This window comes from Homo sapiens, chromosome X (assembly GCF_000001405.40).
Source record: "Homo sapiens chromosome X, GRCh38.p14 Primary Assembly".
In the NCBI taxonomy this organism is placed as follows: Eukaryota; Metazoa; Chordata; class Mammalia; order Primates; family Hominidae; genus Homo; species Homo sapiens.
Window position 1 is genome coordinate 108,527,169 of NC_000023.11, and position 20,261 is coordinate 108,547,429.

At 36.4% G+C, this 20,261-nt stretch overlaps 1 protein-coding gene across 9 annotated transcripts in view; it reads left to right on the forward strand.

Annotated features, from left to right (window-relative positions):
- Nucleotides 1–20,261, forward strand: part of COL4A5 (collagen type IV alpha 5 chain) — a 257,708-nt gene that overhangs the window by 87,331 nt on the left and 150,116 nt on the right. For 5 of the 9 annotated variants that reach the window (XM_011530849.3, XM_017029259.3, XM_017029260.2 and 2 more), the window contains exons 1-3: nucleotides 7,360–7,418; nucleotides 8,834–8,885; nucleotides 12,578–12,637. In XM_011530849.3, coding sequence (XP_011529151.2) covers nucleotides 7,375–7,418; nucleotides 8,834–8,885; nucleotides 12,578–12,637 — 156 coding nt within the window. In that variant the 5' untranslated portion in view covers nucleotides 7,360–7,374. Of the gene's footprint in view, nucleotides 1–7,359; nucleotides 7,419–8,833; nucleotides 8,886–12,577; nucleotides 12,638–20,261 lie in introns of those variants that run through there. The other 4 variants (NM_033380.3, NM_000495.5, XM_047441811.1 and 1 more) reach the window with 2 other exon arrangements.

Sequence of the window (20,261 nt, forward strand, 5' to 3'; positions counted from 1 at the left end):
ATGTAATTACTGATATATTTGTTTTATTTGTCTTGCATTTTAAGGTATCACTTTCTCTGTCTGCCTCTCTTTCGTCTTCTTTTGGATGTATTAAGTATTGTGCCCCTCAATTACTTTGGGATTAATACTCTATTTATCTTTTTTAAAGGTTTACCCTAGAAGTGACAATTTCTAGGTTGTATATGTATCAAAGTCCAAAGTAATCAATATCCTTACCAGTTTTCTATACAATTACAAAGACCTTAAGAATGCTTTAACTTCTTTCACCCTATCTCACTTACATCATATTACCAATGTGTATTTCTTTCAATTCTATATTTTAAATGCCACAGTATGAAAGAGATGCATGTTGCCTACCCACCAGCCCAAGCTGAGGCTACCAAGGCAGCCCCACTCTTTCCAGTGGCAGAGTCTCAGCATGGCTGCTACCACCCCTCACCTGAACACTCCACCTGGATACTGAATATTACCCTACCCCCACCTAACAGAGCTGGTGCTTGCACTCACCATTGGGGTCCTGAGCACAAGCCGCAGAGCCGAGCTTCTGCTCTGAGAGAGAACACATAGCCTGAGGTCCTGGGGATTATCTAACCCAATCCACCACCGTGGGCCCCAGTCCTCCTGGGGGCCTGAGGTTGGGCCTAAACTCCCAACCACTACCACTTCAGCTGGTACCTGCCTGCAAGCACCACATATGGGCCTGGACATGGGCCTACCCAGCCCATTGCAGCTACTATCAACGTCAGTGCACACTGCTCAAGACCCAGACAATTGTCCGTCCACTGCTACTGCCATCACCCACACCATGCCAGCTGCCCAGGGACTGAAGAACCTGCTCACCCACCTGGTCCACTGCTGGCATTATCAGCATCCAAGCAAGACACCTGGAGGCCTAAGAATAGGCCCACTGACAACAGCCAACACCAGTGCCAGTGTAAAATGCTCTAGGGCACAAAGATATGCATGCTCAGCCCACTGGTGCCACCACCGCAGCCTTAAGACTAGCACACCTGTTGTTCCAGTCCCCAGCACAACTTCACCACAGCCTTCACTAATAACCATACCCTAACACACCAAGGAAACCATAAACACCACTAATGCTGTTTACAGCCAAAGAAATCACACAGAGACTATAGCACTATGAACAGAATCAAAGTCAAAGTACCATACACAGCCAATATCTTAGATACATCTTCAGAAAAATATCCTTCCCTATGAAAGTAAATTCAAAAATAGGAAGAAATGATTGTTACACCAGATGCACAGTTACCAACACAAGGACACAAGAAATATGAAAAAGCAAGGAAATATGACACTTGCAAAGGAACACAATAATTCTACAACAATAGATCTTAATCAAAAAGACACTTTTGAAATTCCAGAGAAAGAATTCAAAATATTGATTTTAAAGAAGCTGGGTGAGATATAAGATAATTCCGAAAAACAATACAAAGAAATCAAAACACAGTTAAGGATAAGAATGAACAATATTACTAAAGAGATAAGTATTTTTAAAAAGAACCAAATAGATTAGGTGGAATAAAGAACCTCAAAACTTGAAGTCAGTTCTTTTTAAATAAACCAGTCAGGTAGGAATAAAGAAATAAGAATTTTAAAAAGAATGAGCGAAGCTTTGTGTCATTTGGGACAACATAAATTGATCAAATCTTAAAAATTATTGTTAGCCCCAAGGATGAAGAGACAAAGAAAGGATTAGAAAACCTATTTAAAGAATAGGTGAAAACTTCCCAAGTCTAGTGAGAGATTTACATAATCAGATACAGGAGGCTCAGTGATCCCTAGGTAGATATAATGCAAAGAAATCTTCTCCATGACACATTATAGTCAGAAAGTCTAAAGTCAAATATAAAGAGCAAATCCTGAAAACAGTAAGAGAAAAGTGTCTAGTCACTTCTAAATGAAACCCTATCAAATTAACAGTGGATTGCTCAGCAGAACCTTACAGGCCAGAAGAGAAAGGGAATAAATATATTCGAAGTGCTGAAAGAAAAAAATTGCCAGCCAAGAATACTACATCCCTCAAAATTATCCTTCATCAATGAAGAAGAAATAAAAAATCTTTCACAGATAAGCAAATGCTGAGGGAATTCTTTATGACTAGACTGACCCTACAAGAAATGCTCAAGTGAGTCCTAAACCTGGAAGCAAAAGGACAATATTTAAGATCATGAAAGAACATGAAAGTATAAAACTCACAGATAAACCAGTCAATCAAAGAAGGAAAAGAAAGGACTGAAGCGGTAACACTATAGCAATCTACCAAACCTCAAAAACAATTAAAAAGAGAAAAAGAAATAAACAAAGAATATATAAAACAACCAGAAAACCATTAACAAAATTACAGAAACAGAGCTTCACATATTAATAATAACCTTGAATGTAAATGGATTATATTTTCCACTTAAAATATATTAAATGGCTGAATGAATTTTTAAAAAAACATGATGCAACTATATGCCATGTATAAGAAACTCACCCTAACAGTAAAGACACATATAGACTGAAAGTAAAGGGATGGCAAAAGATATTCCATACAAATGGGAAATAGTAGTAAGCAGGAATAGCTATACCTATATCAGATAAAAGAGAGTTTAAGTCAAGAACAGTTAAAAAAAAAAGGCAGAGAAGGTCATTATGTAATGATAAATGGAACAATCCAGCAAGAAGATACGACAACTCCAAATATATATGCACCCCATACTGTAGCTTCCAGATTCATAAAGCAAATATTCCAAAGAGAGAAATAGATGACAATACAATCAAAGTGGGGGTTTCAACACTCCACTCTCAGCATTTAGACACATCATCTAGACAGAAAATCAACAAAGAAACATTGGGTATAAATAGGGCTTCAGACCCAATAAACCTAACAGACATTTACAAAACATCCTACCCAACAACTGCAGGTTATACATCCTGCAGTTATACATGGACCATTCTCCAGGATAGATCATGTGTTAGGTCACAATATAAGTCTCAACAAATTTTAAAAATTGAAATAATATCAGTTTTCTTTTCAGACCACTTTGGAATAAAACTAGAAATCAATACAAAGAGGAAGATTGGAAACTCTGAAAATACATGGAAATTAAATAACATGCTCCTGAGTGGCCACTGGGTCAATGAAGAAATTATGATGGAAATTTAAAAATTTATTTGACAAATGGGATCTAATTAAACTAAAGAGCTTCTGCACAGCAAAAGAAACTACCATCAGAGTGAACAGGCAACCTACAAAATGGGAGAAAATTTTCGCAACCTACTCATCTGACAAAGGGCTAATATACAGAATCTACAATGAACTCAAACAAATTTACAAGAAAAAAACAAACAACCCCATCAAAAAGTGGGCGAAGGACATGAACAGACACTTCTCAAAAGAAGACATTTATGCAGCCAAAAAACACATGAAAAAATGCTCACCATCACTGGCCATCAGAGAAATGCAAATCAAAACCACAATGAGATACCATCTCACACCAGTTAGAATGGCAATCATTAAAAAGTCAGGAAACAACAGGTGCTGGAGAGGATGTGGAGAAATAGGAACACTTTTACACTGTTGGTGGGACTGTAAACTAGTTCAACCATTGTGGAAGTCAGTGTGGCGATTCCTCAGGGATCTAGAACTAGAAATACCATTCGACCCAGCCATCATCCCATTACTAGGTATATACCCAAAGGACTATAAATCATGCTGCTATAAAGACACATGCACACGTATGTTTATTGTGGCACTATTCACAATAGCAAAGACTTGGAACCAACCCAAATGTCCAACAATGATAGACTGGATTAAGAAAATGTGGCACATATACACCATGGAATACTATGCAGCCATAAAAAATGATGAGCTCATGTCCTTTGTGGGGACATGGATGAAATTGGAAATCATCATTCTCAGTAAACTATCTCAAGGACAAAAAACCAAGCACCACATGTTCTCACTCATAGGTGGGAATTGAACAATGAGAACACATGGACACAGGAAGGGGAACATCACACTCTGGGGACTGTTGTGGGGTGGGGGGAGGGGGGAGGGATAGCATTAGGAGATATACCTAATGCTAAATGACGAGTTAATGGGTGCAGCACACCAGCATGGCACATGTACACATATGTAACTAACCTGCACATTGTGCACATGTACCCTAAAACTTAAAGTATAATAATAATGAAATAAATAAATAAAAAATAAAATAAATAAATAAATAAAAATTTATTGAAATGAAAATGTAAACACAACATACATATTCAGCAAAAATAGTGCTATGAGAGAAGTTTATAGCAATAAATGCCTACATTAAAAACGTAGAAAAATAAAAATTTAACAATCTAGCAATGCACCTCAAGGAACTAGAAAAGCAAGAACAAACCAAATCGAAAGTTAGCAGAAGAAAAAAAATAGCAAAGATCAGAGCAGAACTAAACAGAGACTACAAAAGCAAACATAAGGGCCCAACAAAATGTAAAACTGCTTCTTTGAAAAGATACACAAAATTTGTAAACTGCTAGCTAGTCTAACCAAGAAAAGACCCAAATAAAATCAGAAATGAAAAAAAGACACTACAATTGATATCACAAAAATACACAAGATCATCAGAGATTATTATGGACAACTATACACTGACACACTGGAAATCCTAGAAGAAATGGATAAATTCCTGGAAACATACTACTTACCAAGATTGAATCAGGAAGAAATAGAAAACCTGAACAGACCAATAATGAGTAGTGAGATTGAATCAGTAATAAAAATTCTCCCTACGAAGAAAAGCCCAGGACCAGATGGATACACAGCCAAATTCTAACAATCGTACAAGACAGAAATAATACCAATCCTCCTGAAACTATTCCAGAAAATCCAAGGGTAGGAAATTCTCCCTAATTCATTCCTCGAGGACAGCATCACCCTGATATGAAAATCAGACAAGGATTCAACCAAAAAAGAAAACTGCTGGCAAATATCCCTGGTGAAGATTGATTGAAAAACAATTTAAAAAATACTAGCAAATCCAATTCAACAGTACGTCAAAAATATAATACACATGGGTCCATTGGGATTGAAGGCAAGGAAGGCACAACCTTTGCAAATCAATAAATGTGATACATTACATCAACAGATTGAAGGACAAAACAATATGACCATCTCAATAGATGCAGAAAAGGCATTTGATAAAATTTAACATCCCTTCGTGATTGAAACTCTCAACAAACTAGGCATAGAAGGAATATACCGTAGCATAATAAAGGCCATATACTTCAAATCCACTGCAAACATCATATTAAATGAAGAAAAGCTGAAATCCTTTCCTCTAAAAACTGGAACAAGACAAGGATGTTGACTTTCACCACTCCTATTCAACATAGTACTGGAGGTCCTATTAAGAGCAATCAAGCAAGTGAAAAATAAAAAAGGCATCCAAATGGGAAAAGAAGCAGTCAAATTGCCCCTCTTTACCGATATATCTATCTAGAGAAGCTTAAAGAATGAATTCAGTGAAGTTGCAGGATACAAAATCAATGTACAAGAATCAGTAGCCTTTCTACACACCGATAATGATCTAACCAGGAAAGAAAGAAAGAAAGCAATTCCATTTACATTTGGTAAAATAAGTAAAATACATAGGAATAAATTTAACCAAGGAGGATTGATTCTACAAGGAAACCTACAAAACACTGTTGAAAGAAATGCAGGTGATAGAAACAAATGGAAAAATATTTTATACTCATGGATCAGAAGAATTAATATTGTTAAAGTCATCGTATTGCCCAAAGGAATCTATACATTCAACATAATCGCTATCAAAATGCCAATGCAATTTTTTCACAGAATTAGAAAACAAATCCTAAAATGTATATGAAACCAAAAAAGAGCCTGAATAGCCAATGCAACCCTGACCTAAAAACAAAGCTGGAGGCATCACATTACCTGACTTCAAAATATATTACAAGGCTGTAGTAACCCAAACTGCATTATATTGTTATGAAAATATAGACCAATGGAACAGAATAGAGAACCCAGAAATAAAGCCACATCTTCATAGCCAATTGATCTTCAACAAAGCTGACAAGAGCTTACACTGGGGAAAGGTAATCCTCTTCATTAAATGGTGCTGGAAAAATTGGATAGCCACATGTAGAAGAATGAAACTGGACCCGTATTTCTCACCATATACAAAAATTAACTCAGGATGGATTAAAGACTTAAATCTTCTTTTGCACAGGAAAAGAAACTATCAACAGAGTAAACAGACAACCTACAGAATGGGAGAAAATATTCGTGAACTGTGCATCCAACAAAGGTCTAATATCCAGAATCTACAAGGAACTTAAGCAATTCAACAAGCTAAAATTTTATGTAAATATAAGACCTGAAAATATAAAACTACTAGAAGAAATTCCAGGGGAAAACTCTCCTGGACATTGGTCTAGGCAAAGAATTTGACTAAGACCTCAAAAGCACAGGCAACAAAAACAAAAATAGCCAAATGGGGCTATATTAAATAAAAAGCTTCTGAACAGCAAACGAAGCAATCAACAGAGGGAATAAACAACTTGTTGAATGGGAGACAATTTTTGCAAAGTATTTATCTGACAGGGGACTAATATTGAGAATACAAAAGGAACTCAAACAACAGGAAAAAACAAACAAAACAAAATAAAACTCCAATTAATCCCGTTTAAAGTAAGCAAAAGACCTGAATAGACATTTCTCATAAAAAAGACATACAAATGGTATATGTAAAATGCTCAACATCGCTAATCATCAGAGAAATGCAGATGAAAACCACAATGAGATATCATCTTATCCCAGTCAAAATGGCTATTAATAAAAAGACAAAAAACAACAGATGTTGGCAAGGATAAAAAAAATAAGGGAACTCTTATATGCTGTTGTGAACATAATCTAGTACAGCCACCAGAAAACTGTATGGATATTTAAAAGAAAGAGAGAAAGAGAAAGAGAGAGAGAGAAAGAGAAAGAAAGAAAGAAAGAAACTAAACATAGCATCACCATACAACCCAGCAATTCCACTACTAGGTATCTATCCAAAGGTAAAGAAATCAATATATCAAAGAAATACCTACACTTGCCTGTTTATTGCAGCAGTATTCATAATCACAAAGATATGCAATTAACCTAAGTGTGTATCAACAGGTGAATGGATAAAGAAAATGTGGTACATATACAGAATGGAATACTACTTAGCCATAAAAACTAGTGAAATCATGTCATTTGCAGCAACATGGATGGAACTCGATGTCATTCTCTTAAGTGAAATAAGCCAGCCACAGATTGACAAATATTGCATGTTCTCACTTGTATGTGGGAGCTAAAAAATTGACCATATGGAGGTAGACAGTGGAAAGACAGAGAACAGAGACTGGGAAGGGTAAGTGTCAAGGAGGGGGAGGATGAAGAGAACTGGGTTCTTAGCATATTAAAGATGTCATTCCGTGGTCTTCTGGCTTTGATTATTGCTTCTGAGAACTAATCTGTAAATTAATTTTCACTCTCTTGAAGGCGGTCTGTCTTGTCTTTTTTGATGCTTTTAAGGCCTTTCCTTTACTTTTATGTTATGCAGTTATGTTCTGCTGCACCTAGTTTCAGGTTTTATTTTTATGCCATTGAATCTGTTTGGTTTCTTGAATCACAAATATCTGTAGATTTTTCTTGAGAAATCTTAGCCGTTGTCTCTTTAGTATTGTCTTTATTCCCTCTCTCACCTCTTCTAGAATCCCAATTTCCTTTATGTTATTCTTCCTCACTCTTTCTTCCATGTCTCTTAATGATTATTTCACAGTTTCCATGTTTTATCTCTATGCCACATTATATATAATTTCTTTTTAGCTTTACTAAGTCTTTTAACTTTATACTGTCTCTCTTCAGCTCTATCTAGTCTGTTGTGAAGCCCATCCATTGAGTTTTAAATTTCAATTACTATAGCTTTTACTTCTAGAATTTATATTTTATTTCGATTGAGCTATGTCATTTTCATACAATTGCTGGCTCCCTTTATTATTTTTAAGTTAGAAAAATTCTTCTATAATTGTAAAGATAGTTACTATATATTTTTTATCTGATAATTCCAATGTGTGAAATATTTAGTGAGTACTTTCTGTTGTCATATGTTTCTTTTGGCTTTTGCTTATGGTTTTTTTTCTTGTATGCTTAATGGTTTTTAATTAGGAAATCTCATCTTCCTTTAAAAAAATGATACATTAGAATTATTTGAAGTTTACTATGAAGGCATGTTTTTTCTACGTAGAGTCAGTATGTATTTTTGCCCAGCCTCTAGAAGGTCAATGCAGTCAGAGTCCACTCAGGTAATGCTAATTTGGATTGCAAATCTGGCCAGTTTGTGGTGAGTTTTTTAAGGGTTTTTTTTCCTGTACTTCTCTGCTAAGCACCAAGAGATCTTTTCTTCCACCTCCCTGGGTGTGGGATTGTGAGGTACATTTATGCGTGGTACACCCTTATAGTAAAAGAAATTATAAAACAAAACCCAAAAATTATCCAAGTTTGGCATATGTCCTCCGGGAAAAAGTAGTTTCATTGATCAGTTCATTTTTTGGTTTTCCCTAGATTTTGATTTGATAAATCCTACTGTGCTTCCCTTTGATGCTTTTAGGAAGAAGTTTTTACTTTTTTCCAAGCATTTTTTTTTTAAGTAAGCATTTCAGTCTGGATACCTAACTGGCCACATTATTGGAATATTTCTTATTTCTCTCTGCCATTATTTTGTAGTATGTGTCTCCTTGGAACACCTGAATCAAAATTACTTAGAGATGTTTATTAAAATTTCAGATTCTGCTATTCAACTTCAGCTTACTGGAAGAATCTTTACGATGGGTTGCTGGTATGTAAATTTTTGTGAGGTTCTTTAGGTGACCCTAATTCATACAGAATTTGTTTTTATTTGTACTTTTAAGTCTAATATCTGCTGTTTTAATTGTAGCAGCATGAGATCTAAATTTATTATTTTTTATATTTATTCTAGCACCATATGTTGAAAAATTCATTGTTTTCACATCTATTTGACGTCAACTTTTATCATATAGTAGTTGTGTGTGTGTGTGTGTGTGTGCACGTGCTTGCATGTGTAAATCTGTTTCTGGCCTTCCTATTTTTGTTAACTGAATACCATACTATTTTAATTATTGTAGTGTTGTGATGTGTTTTACTGTGTGATAATACAAAACTTTCCTTACTCATTTATTACTTTCTCCCACAATAAAAATTTAAAATATTACTGTAGTTTCATCATTTTCTTGCTTCTTTCATCTTCAGTGATTTCGAAAAATTAGTTTTTTTCATATGAACTTAGCCTTTTAGACTGAGGTACTTAATGTTCATTTTACTTCTTTGCCCCAATCAATTTTGTATTTTAATCATGCTTAGCATGGCAATTTTTCCTCTAGGTAGCTTTCTGTCTATCCTTCCAAGTTGAAGTCCAGGTATTCACTTTCTCCACAGAGCCTTTGTCAATACTTTCAGGCTCAAGGGAACTGTTTTTCTTAACTTTGATAGCAATTATTGACTATACCACTCATTTTTACCTGGCAAATCCTACAGAATCACAGAGAGTGAAATCTGGAAGCTACCTAAGGAGATCATATTGTCTATGTATGCCATTTTACAAATGAGAAAACAGCCAAAGAGTATGGAAATGATTTGTCCATGGTCAAATGTTTCAACTTCTGAAGTAAAATTATGATATACCGCTGTATCATTATTCCATTGTATTTTGATATTCTTTTCATATGTCCTGAAAATACCCAGTTACTTAAAAAATAAAATACCTAGTTACTTAAAAAAACAAAAAACCTAGACTGGAAGTTCCTTAAAGGTAGCACCTGCATGTACTTTTGTACAACTCATAGAACTATTATTGTGCTTGTGTTTATTAGACACCTAATCAATATTAATAGATGTTGGTAAAAAAACAAATTGTTCCATTAACCAGATGTCAAACTGGGGCTATCTCCTTGTGGGCGCCACTGTTATAACTGTATAGAAAGTGGCATCTAGTGGTTGGTGTGCGTATTACAATTGCCTGTTTTGTTTTAACCTATGAGTACCAGAGTCATTCTCATAACCTAGGTGGAATAAATAGACTATAAATTAAAATTTTAAATTGAATTTAAACACATTTATCTATAATTCACAACTGTTTTAATCTGTGCTCTCTCTAAAGTAAAGCTACATGTTAATAAAAAATTGCAAAAAATTATACAAAATTACTTGTAAAATGACATGCGAGAGTATTTAAGGTTTTGCTTGTTTATAAATTATATTAGGAGTTAGGGGCTATCGTTGGATACTGAGAAGTCAAAATGCAATTATAAAGAAAGGTCACATAGAAACTTGTTCATATCAATGAAATCCTGTCAGGTTATTGCTTTGCATTATTTTTAGGAGCTTAATTTGTATTTAAAAGAAGAAGATCTCTCAATAAAGGCTGAAGATGGAAAGCTACACTGTCTTCTACTCGCAACAACAAAAACCCATGCACATATATTCACATATAAAGTTCAGACATGCATTTCAGTGTCAAATGTTAATTATTCTTACATTAACAGCCATTTGGGGTTATCACTACTCTTTACCTCTCCATTAATGCATGAGTGTTGACAATATGCACAATTTAATTCAGGGACTACGACTGTTGACAGTTACTGTCTTGTGAACTTGTGAATCAGTATCTTCTTGTGAAACGGTATCTTCTAAATTTTATAAAATCCATAGTCTGGAACTTAAAATTTATGTTTGCAGAAAAATATTATATATTTTTAATTAACCTCTGTTTCCTGCACATTGTAATATAATTTTTTGTAGATGGGTTCATCCTTCCCATTAGAGAGCAATGATGTACTTTGTACTTCTACTTGCACCTAACATAACATAGTGGCTGTCACATAACAGGTGATCAATAAGTATTTCTTGAATTAGTTACACATGTTGGAGGGAGCTGTGTGTTACTCATCTTAGAAGTCTAGTGCCTAACAATTTTTCTGTCCTCTAGTAATATTCAATTCATATTTGATGAATGAGTAAGTCTGAATAAGCCTATTTAATCTGTAGTGTAGTTAGCGTAAAATACTAAAATCAGTATATAACCCCCAAACATCTATGAATAATAAATAATAGCGGCATAGCAGACTTTCTGTTTGACGTGTCAGGAGCACAGCTTTCACTGGAGCAGCCTCTTGTAGTGTGAGTGAGAGATTACTGCAACATCAAGCCATTGTAGTTTGCTCTTATAATCAGGAAAAGAGGTTTCAGTATGAAGGTGACTTTTAGTTGCAGCTGAGTGAGTTAGGAGTTCTGACCAGAAGGATAAGGTCAGTACTTTCAAAAGGGTTGAGGAGGGTACTTTGGTAGTGACTAGAGTAAAGGAAATCATGGAATGTTGAGCAGCAGGCTAAGGTATTTTATATCAAAGGCCCTCAAGATTGATGGGCATTATTTGGTATTTATGTCACATGAAGGTTTCAGTAACTCAGTCTGGTATCTATCTGATGAAAAGAATGCCACCTCCTTGTAAGTAAACACTGAGCTATCCATGTATATTAAACTAACTTGTTTTTCTAAGCAGTTCATTTTCTAAGAGTAAAGGATAGTACTGAATGGCAGAAGTCACATACTGTATTCTTTTCCTCTATAGGTTTTCTATTTTGGAGGAGGATATTTTTCTGGCTTGAGGACCTCAATTCCTAATATGATTGAATGCCTGTTTAGAACATCTAGACTGTGGGAGCAGCATTTATGGTAAAGCTGTTAGAGACTGAGCTATTATTAGTGATGAAGGAGTAGGAGCAAAGAAAAGAAAGAAAGGTGGTAAAAGATAGTGTTATATATTTTATGCTCCATGATTGCTCATGAATGGAGAGAAACAAGTGACTTGAAGTGGTAGGCATTGTTGTCTAGTTGCCAAGGTCATTGCTAATACAGAGTGAGAGGTAATTTTTTACAAGCAATGTTAGAAGAAAAAAAGGAGAGTTCCTGAGAGTTTGGACATGTGGCAAATCATATTACAGGGAAGTTGTATGAATTTCTTTTCCATTTTTAACATATTTTAGATTGTGCATACTGTCAACACTCATGCATTAATGAAGAGGTAAAGGGTAGTGATAACCCCAAATGGCTGTTAATGTAAGAATAATTAACTTTGAAATGTATGTCTGTACTTTATATGTGAATATATGTGCATGGGTTTTTGTTGTTGTAAGTAGAAGATGGTGTAGCTTTCCATCTTTAGCCTTTATTGAGAGATATCTCATTTTTAATGTCTTGTAAAATGATATTTTTCACTTTAAAATTATAAAAATTATGTTTGCTCATTTTGAAAAGTTAAGACAGAAGTGTATATAATAAAAGGTGCAAGCTTCCTGAGAGGTAACTGTTATTTGCAATTTCGTATATCTTTTCAGATATTTTTCTGGTATCTATCTTTCAAGTTTGGATTGTTGATTTCAGTTGAGCTGTAAGTCAGAGTCTGATTTTTGGGTTCATATTTAATGATTTTTTCCCTCTTTCTCTTCCTTATAGGCTTGCTATGGGTGTTCTCCAGGATCAAAGTGTGACTGCAGTGGCATAAAAGGGGAAAAGGTGAGGTCTTAGATTGGCATTTGAAAATTTAGTAAAGCCAGTAAACTAATGGTTTTAATAAATATTTTTTTAAAAACAGAGCTTCTATCTCAGTACTTAAGTAAGTGAAATGAATCCTATTGCATTGCTTATTTTAGAGAGCTTATAAGGATTAGATTATATCTTAAGGTCAGCAAAGATTTTCTGTAAAAGGCCATATAGCAAACATTTTAGGATTTATGGGACACATCAGTTTCTGTCACATATTCTTATTTATATAAATAGAACTTTAAAAGTGACTAAAAAATATTCTTAGCTCTTGGATCATAGAACATGAGCCTCTTGGGATCTGGATCAGGACCTCTTTCCCGTAACATATTTCTGGCGACCACAGAAGGGACTATAGTGCAGAAACCCTAGCTTAATGGCTACCTTTGGGTAAGTGTTGGGGTCCTTTAATATCTGCATTTGGCCTGAGAGCTATAATCTGCCAAACTCTGATTGGTCTTGTTGAAGGCACTGACTTACTTAATAGGCAAAGACAGGGGAAAAACACTTAAGAAGGAAACTAAACATTTATCAAGCTACTAATCTCTGCCAGATACCAGGCAATATCATGTATTTTTATCTAGTCTATGCAGTTTAATAATAGATGAAAGTCTTTTTTTTTGTTTTTTCGTTTTTGAGACACGGTCTTGCTCTGTCACCCAGGCTGGAGTGCAGTGTCACAATCAAGGCTCACTGCAACCTCCGCCTCCTGGGTTCAAGCAGTTCTCGTGCCTCAGCCTGCCAAGTAGCTGGGATTGTAGGCATGCACCACCATGCCTGGCTTATTTTTGTATTTTTAGTAGAGATGGGGTTTCGCCTTGTTGGCTAGGCTGGTCTCGAACTCCTGGCCTCAAGTGATCTGCCCACCTTGGCAGGGGATTCCAGGAGTGAGCCACCATGCCCAGCTGAATGTTTATTTCTATCTTACTTTTTCCACAGCAGCATCTCCTATTGTACAGATATTATGATTACAAAGTAAGTATTGGTGAAGATTATATAGCATAAGCCTAATCACTATCAGTGAATGACATTAATATTATCAAATATAAAAGGGATAGTAAATTATAGCCTAAAGAGAGTTATACTAGGAGATGGGATCATACTCTTGTCTCCACTCTTTGGGGCTCAGTATTTTTGAATGAATGAGTGAATGCTGCTAATTATATATGAAGCAGTTTAGGACAGTATGTCTAGGGCATAATCTACTTAGAGGTATAGAAGGTACGTTAGCATATTAGACATTCTTAAAAGTTCTGGAGCAAAGAAACCTATTTGTTTGTTTTGTAATGCTACATTTCCAAGCCCCATTTGACCATGTTATAGACTTTCCCCTTAACAGAGCAGCTATTAATATTAATTGGATAGTCTTCTGCAGAACACTTATTTGAGTAACATTAGTTTGATGGGAGTAGTTTCGCAGTAAGGGTGCTTTCTGTAGTGGAGAAAATACCAAGAGGGATTAACTTCATATAATAGTAGAGTGATGTTTATCAGATTAACTTTTGAGATAAGAATGGAATACTCTGGACAAAATATAACAGCTACTTGATAGTACAAGAGAATAACCAAAGGAAAAAGAGGAGAGGCATCTGCACTTGAAAGAAAGGAAATACACTGGGCATATTTGCATTTATATGGCTTTTCCCCTGAGTACAGCCCTTAGTCTGCATGGCAAAGGAAGGCTAAAACCCAGACAAAAACCCATGGTCTTACTGGCTTGAGTCAGCAGAGTTGAGGATGCCAGAATGGCTGAAAAGTGAAGAGGGATATACTGGAATGTAGGGAAACACATTGGAAAGAGCTCAAAAAATTGCTTATAGATTCCATCCAAATTCTTGCTTGAATCCTGAAGTTTATAACTATAGAGGAAGGTTCATACAACCCAGCAAAAAGGAACAGCTGGAAGTCTGCAATAACTGAGCATAGATTTAACCGTTGTCCGTTGAAAGGAGAATGGAGTTTTAAGTTCAAGTTCAGCTGAGTTAACTATACTATTTCTTAAAATAGAAGTTTAATCAATACTCTTCAGAGGAAGTTAAGAGAATCCAGAATCTCTCCATATTACCTACAATATCCAGTATGCAATTAAAAATTACCAAGTAAAAGTGATCTACAGTCAATAAAAAGACCAATCAATGAAAACCAACCCTGAACTAACACAGATGTTGGAATTTGTAGACTATGATTTAAAGCAGAAAATAGAAAAGGAAAATCTCCTCATGATGCGTGACCAAATAAGGAATCACAACAGAGTAATGGAAACTGTATTTTATTTAATTTTTTTTTATTGTTATACTTTAAGTTCTAGGGTACATGTGCACAACGTGCAGGTTTGTTACATATGTATACATGTGCCATGTTGGTGTGCTGCACCCATTAGCTCGTCATTTACATTAGGTATATCTCCTAATGCTATCCTTCCCCCCACCCCCACCCCACAACAGGCCCTGGTGTGTGATGTCCCCCTTCCTGTGTCCAAGTGTTCTCATTGTTCAATTCCCACCTATGAATGAGAACATGCAGTGTTTGGTTTCTTGTCCTTGTGATAGTTTGCTGAGAATGATGGTTTCCAGCTTCATCCATGTCCCTACAAAGGACATGAACTCATCCTTTTTTATGGCTGCATAGTATTCCATGGTGCGTATGTGCCACATTTTCTTAATCCAGCCTATCATTGTTGGACATTTGGGTTGGTTCCAAGTCTTTGCTATTGTGAATAGTGCCGCAATAAATATACATGTGCATGTGTCTTTATAGCAGCATGATTTATAATCCTTTGGGTATATACCCAGTAATGGGATGGCTGGGTCAAATGGTATTTCTAGTTCTATATCCTTGAGGAATCGCCACACAGTCTTCCGCAATGGTTGAACTAGTTTACAGTCCCAACAACAGTGTAAAAGTGTTCCTATTTCTCCACATCCTCTCCAGCACCTGTTGTTTCCTGACTTTTTAATGATCGCCATTCTAACTGGTGTGAGATGGTATCTCATTGTGGTTTTGATTTGCATTTCTCTGATGGCCAGTGATGATGAGCATTTTTTCATGTGTCTTTTGGCTGCATAAATGTCTTCTTTTGAGAAGTGTCTGTTCATATCCTTTGCCCACTTTTTGATGGGGTTGTTTGTTTTTTTCTTGTAAATATGTTTGAGTTCATTGTAGATTCTGGATATTAGCCCTTTGTCAGATAATAGGTTGCAAAAATTTTCTCCCATTTTGTAGGTTGCCTGTTCACTCTGATAGTAGTTTCTTTTGCTGTGCAGAAGCTCTTTAGTTTAATTAGATCCCATTTGTCAATTTTGGCTTTTGTTGCCATTGCTTTTGGTGTTTTAGACATGAAGTCCTTGCCCATGCCTATGTCCTGAATGGTATTGCCTAGGTTTTCTTCTAGGGTTTTTATGGTTTTAGATCTAGCATTTAAGTCTTTCATCTGCCTTGAATAAATTTTTGTATAAGGTGTAAGGAAGGGATCCAGTTTCAGCTTTCTACATATGGCTAGGCAGTTTTCCTAGCACCATTTATTAAATAGGGAATCCTTTCCCCATTGCTTGTTTTTCTCAGGTTTGTGAAAGATCAGAAAGTTGTAGATGTGTGGTATTATTTCTGAGGGCTCTGCTGTGTTCCATTTGTCTATATCTCTGTTTTGGTACCAGTACCATGCTGTTTTGGTGACTGTAGCCTTGTAGTATAGTTTGAAGTCAGGTAGTATGATGCCTCCAGCTTTGTTCTTTTGGCTTAGGACTGACTTGGCGATGCAGGCTCTTTTTTGGTTCCATATGAACTTTAAAGTAGTTTTTTCCAATTCTGTGAAGAAAGTCATTGGTAGCTTGATGGGGATGGCATTGAATCTATAAATTACCTTGGGCAGTATGGCCATTTTCACGATATTGATTCTTCCTATCCATGAGCATGGAATGTTCTTGCATTTGTTTGTATCCTCTTTTATTTCGTTGAGCAGTGGTTTGTAATTCTCCTCGAAGAGGTCCTTCACATCCCTTGTAAGTTGGATTCCTAGGTGTTTCATTCTCTTTGAAGCAATTGTGAATGGGAGTTCACTCATGATTTGGCTCTCTGTTTGTCTGTTACTGGTGTATAAGAAGGCTTGTGATTTTTGCACATTGATTTTGCATCCTGAGACTTTGCTGAAGTTGCTTATCAGCTTAAGGAGATTTTAGGCTGAGACGATGGGGTTTTCTAGATATACAATCATGTCATCTGCAAACAGGGACAATTTGACTTCCTTTTTTCCTAATTGAATACTCTTTATTTCTTTCTCCTGCCTGATTGCCCTGGCCAGAACTTCCAACACTATGTTGAATAGGAGTGGTGAGAGAGGGCATCTCTGTCTTGTGCCAGTTTTCAAAGGGAGTGCTTCCAGTTTTTGCCCATTCAGTATGATGTTGGCTGTGGGTTTGTCATAGATAGCTCTTATTATTTTGAGATATGTCCCATCAATACCTAATTTATTAAGAGCTTTTAGCCTGAAGGGCTGTTGAATTTTGTCAAAGGCCTTTTCTGCATCTATTGAGATAATCATGTGGTTTTTGTCTTTGGTTCTGTTTATATGCTGGATTACATTTATTGATTGGCGTATGTTGAACCAGCCTTGCATCCCAGGGATGAAGCCCACTTGATCGTGGTGGATAAGGTTTTTGATGTGCTCTTGGATTCAGTTTGCCAGTATTTTATTGAGAATTTTTGCATCGATGTTCATCAGGGATATTGGTCTAAAATTCTCTTTTTTGTTGTGTCTCTGCCAGGCTTTGGTATCAGGATGCTGCTGGCCTCATAAAATGAGTTAGGGAGGATTCCCTTTTTTTTTTATTGATTGGAATAGTTTCAGAAGGAATGGTAGCAGCTCCTCCTTGTACCTCTGGTAGAATTCGGCTGTGAATCCATCTGGTCCTGGACTTTTTTTGGTTTGTAAGCTATTAATTATTGCCTCAATTTCAGAGCCTGTTATTGGTCTATTCAGAGATTCAACTTCTTCCTGGTTTAGTCTTGGGAGAGTGTATGTGTTGAGGAGTTTATCCATTTCTTCTAGATTTTCTAGTTTATTTGCGTAGAGGTGTTTACAATATTTTCTGATGGTAGTTTGTATTTCTGTGGGATCGGTGGTGATATCTCCTTTATCATTTTTTATTGCATCTATTTGATTCTTCTCTCTTTTCTTCTTTATTAGTCTTGCTAGCAGTCTATCAGTTTTATTGATCTTTTCAAAAAACCAGCTCCTGGATTCATTGATTATTTGAAGGATTTTTGTGTCTCTATCTCTTTCAGTTCTGCCCTGATCTTAGTTATTTCTTGCCTTCTGCTAGCTTTTGAATGTGTTTGCTCTTGCTTCTCTAGTTCTTTTAATTGTGATGTTAGGGTGTCAATTTTAGATCTTTCCTGCTTTCTCTTGTGGGCATTTAGTGCTGTAAGTTTCCCTCTATACACTGCTTTAAATATGTCCCAGAGATTCTGGTATGTTGTGTCTTTGTTCTCGTTGGTTTCAAAGAACATCTTTATTTCTGCCTTCATTTCCTTATGTACCCAGTAGGCATTCAGGAGCCGGTCGTTCAGTTTCATGTAGTTGAGCAGTTTTCAGTGAGTTTCTTAATCCTGAGTTCTAGTTTGATTGCACTGTGGTCTGAGAGACAGTTTGTTATAATTTCTGTTCTTTTACATTTGCTGAGGAGTGCTTTACTTCCAATGATGTGGTCAATTTTGGAGTAAGTGCGGTGTGGTGCTGAGAAGAATGTATATTCTTTTGATTTGGGGTGGAGAGTTCTGTAGATGTCTATTAGGTCTGCTTGGTGCAGAGCTGAGTTCAATTCCTGGATATCCTTGTTAACTTTCTGTCTTGTTGATTTGTTTAATGTTGACAGTGGGGTGTTAAAGTCTCCCATTATTATTGTGTGGGAGTCTAAGTCTCTTTCTAGGTCTCTAAGGACTTGCTTTATGAATCTGGGTGCTCCTGTATTGGGTGCATATATATTTAGGATAGTTAGCTCTTCTTGTTGAATTGATCCCTTTACCATTATGTAATGGCCTTCTTTGTCTCTTTTGATCTTTGTTGGTTTAAAGTGTGTTTTATCAGAGACTAGGATTGCAACCCCTGCCTTTTTTTGTTTTCCATTTGCTTGGAAGATCTTCCTCCATCCCATTATTTTGAGCCTATGTGTGTCTCTGCACATGAGATGGGTCTCCTGAATACAGCACCCTGGTGGGTCTTCACTCTTTATCCAATTTGCCAGTCTGGGTCTTTTAATTGGAACATTCAGCCCATTTACATTCAATGTTAATATTGTTATGTGTGAATTTGATCCTGTCATTATGATGTTAGCTGGTTATTTTGCTCGTTAGTTGATGCAGTTTCTTCCTAGCATCAATGGTCTTTACAATTTGGCATGATTTTGCAGTGGCTGGTACTGGTTGTTCCTTTCCATGTTTAGTGCTTCCTTCAGGAGCTCTTGTAAGGCAGGCCTGGTGGTGACAAAATCTCTCAGCATTTGCTTGTCTGTAAAGGATTTTATTTCTTCTTCACTTATGAAGTTTAGTTTGGCTGGATATGAAATTCTGGGTTGAAAATTCTTTTCTTTAAGAATGTTGAATATTGGCCCCCACTCTCTTCTGGCTTGTAGAGTTTCTGCCAAGAGATCCACTGTTAGTCTGATGGGCTTCCCTTTGTGGGTAACCCGACCTTTCTCTCTGGCTGCCCTTAGCTTTTTTTCCTTCATTTCAACTTTGGTGAATCTGACAATTATGTGTCTTGGAGTTGCTCTTCTCGAGGAGTATCTTTGTGGCGTTCTCTGTATTTCCTGAATTTGAATGTTGGCCTGCCTTGCTAGGTTGGGGAAGTTCTCCTGGATAATATCCTGCAGAGTGTTTTCCAACTTGGTTCCATTCTCCCCATCACTTTCAGGTACACCAATCAGATGTAGATTTGGTCTTTTCACATAGTCCCATATTTCTTGGAGGCTTTGTTCGTTTCTTTTTATTCTTTTTTCTCTAAACTTCTCTTCTCACTTCATTTCATTCATTTGATCTTCAATCACTGATACCCTTTCTTCCAGTTGATCGAATTGGCTACTGAAACTTGTGCATTCATCACGTAGTTCTCGTGCCATGGTTTTCAGCCCCATCAGGTCCTTTAAGGACTTCTCTGCATTGGTTATTCTAGTTAGCCATTCGTCTAATCTTTTTTCAAGGTTTTTAACTTGTTTGCATTGGGTTCGAACTTCCTCCTTTAGCTCAAAGAAGTTTGATCATCTGTAGCCTTCTTCTCTCAACTCTTCAAAGTCATTCTCCTTCCAGCTTTGTTCTGTTGCTGGTGAGGAGCTGCGTTCCTTTGGAGGAGGAGAGGCACTCTGACTTTTAGAATTTTCAGTTTTTCTGCTCTGTTTTTTCCCCATCTTTGTGGTTTTATCTACCTTTGGTCTTTGATGATGGTGACATACAGATGGGGTTTCGGTGTGGATGTCCTTTCTGTTTGTTAGTTTTCCTTCTAACAGTCAGGACCCTCAGCTGCAGGTCTGTTGGAGTTTGCCGGAGGTCCACTCCAGACCCTGTTTGCATGGGTATCAGCAGCAGAGGCTGCACAAGAGTGAATATT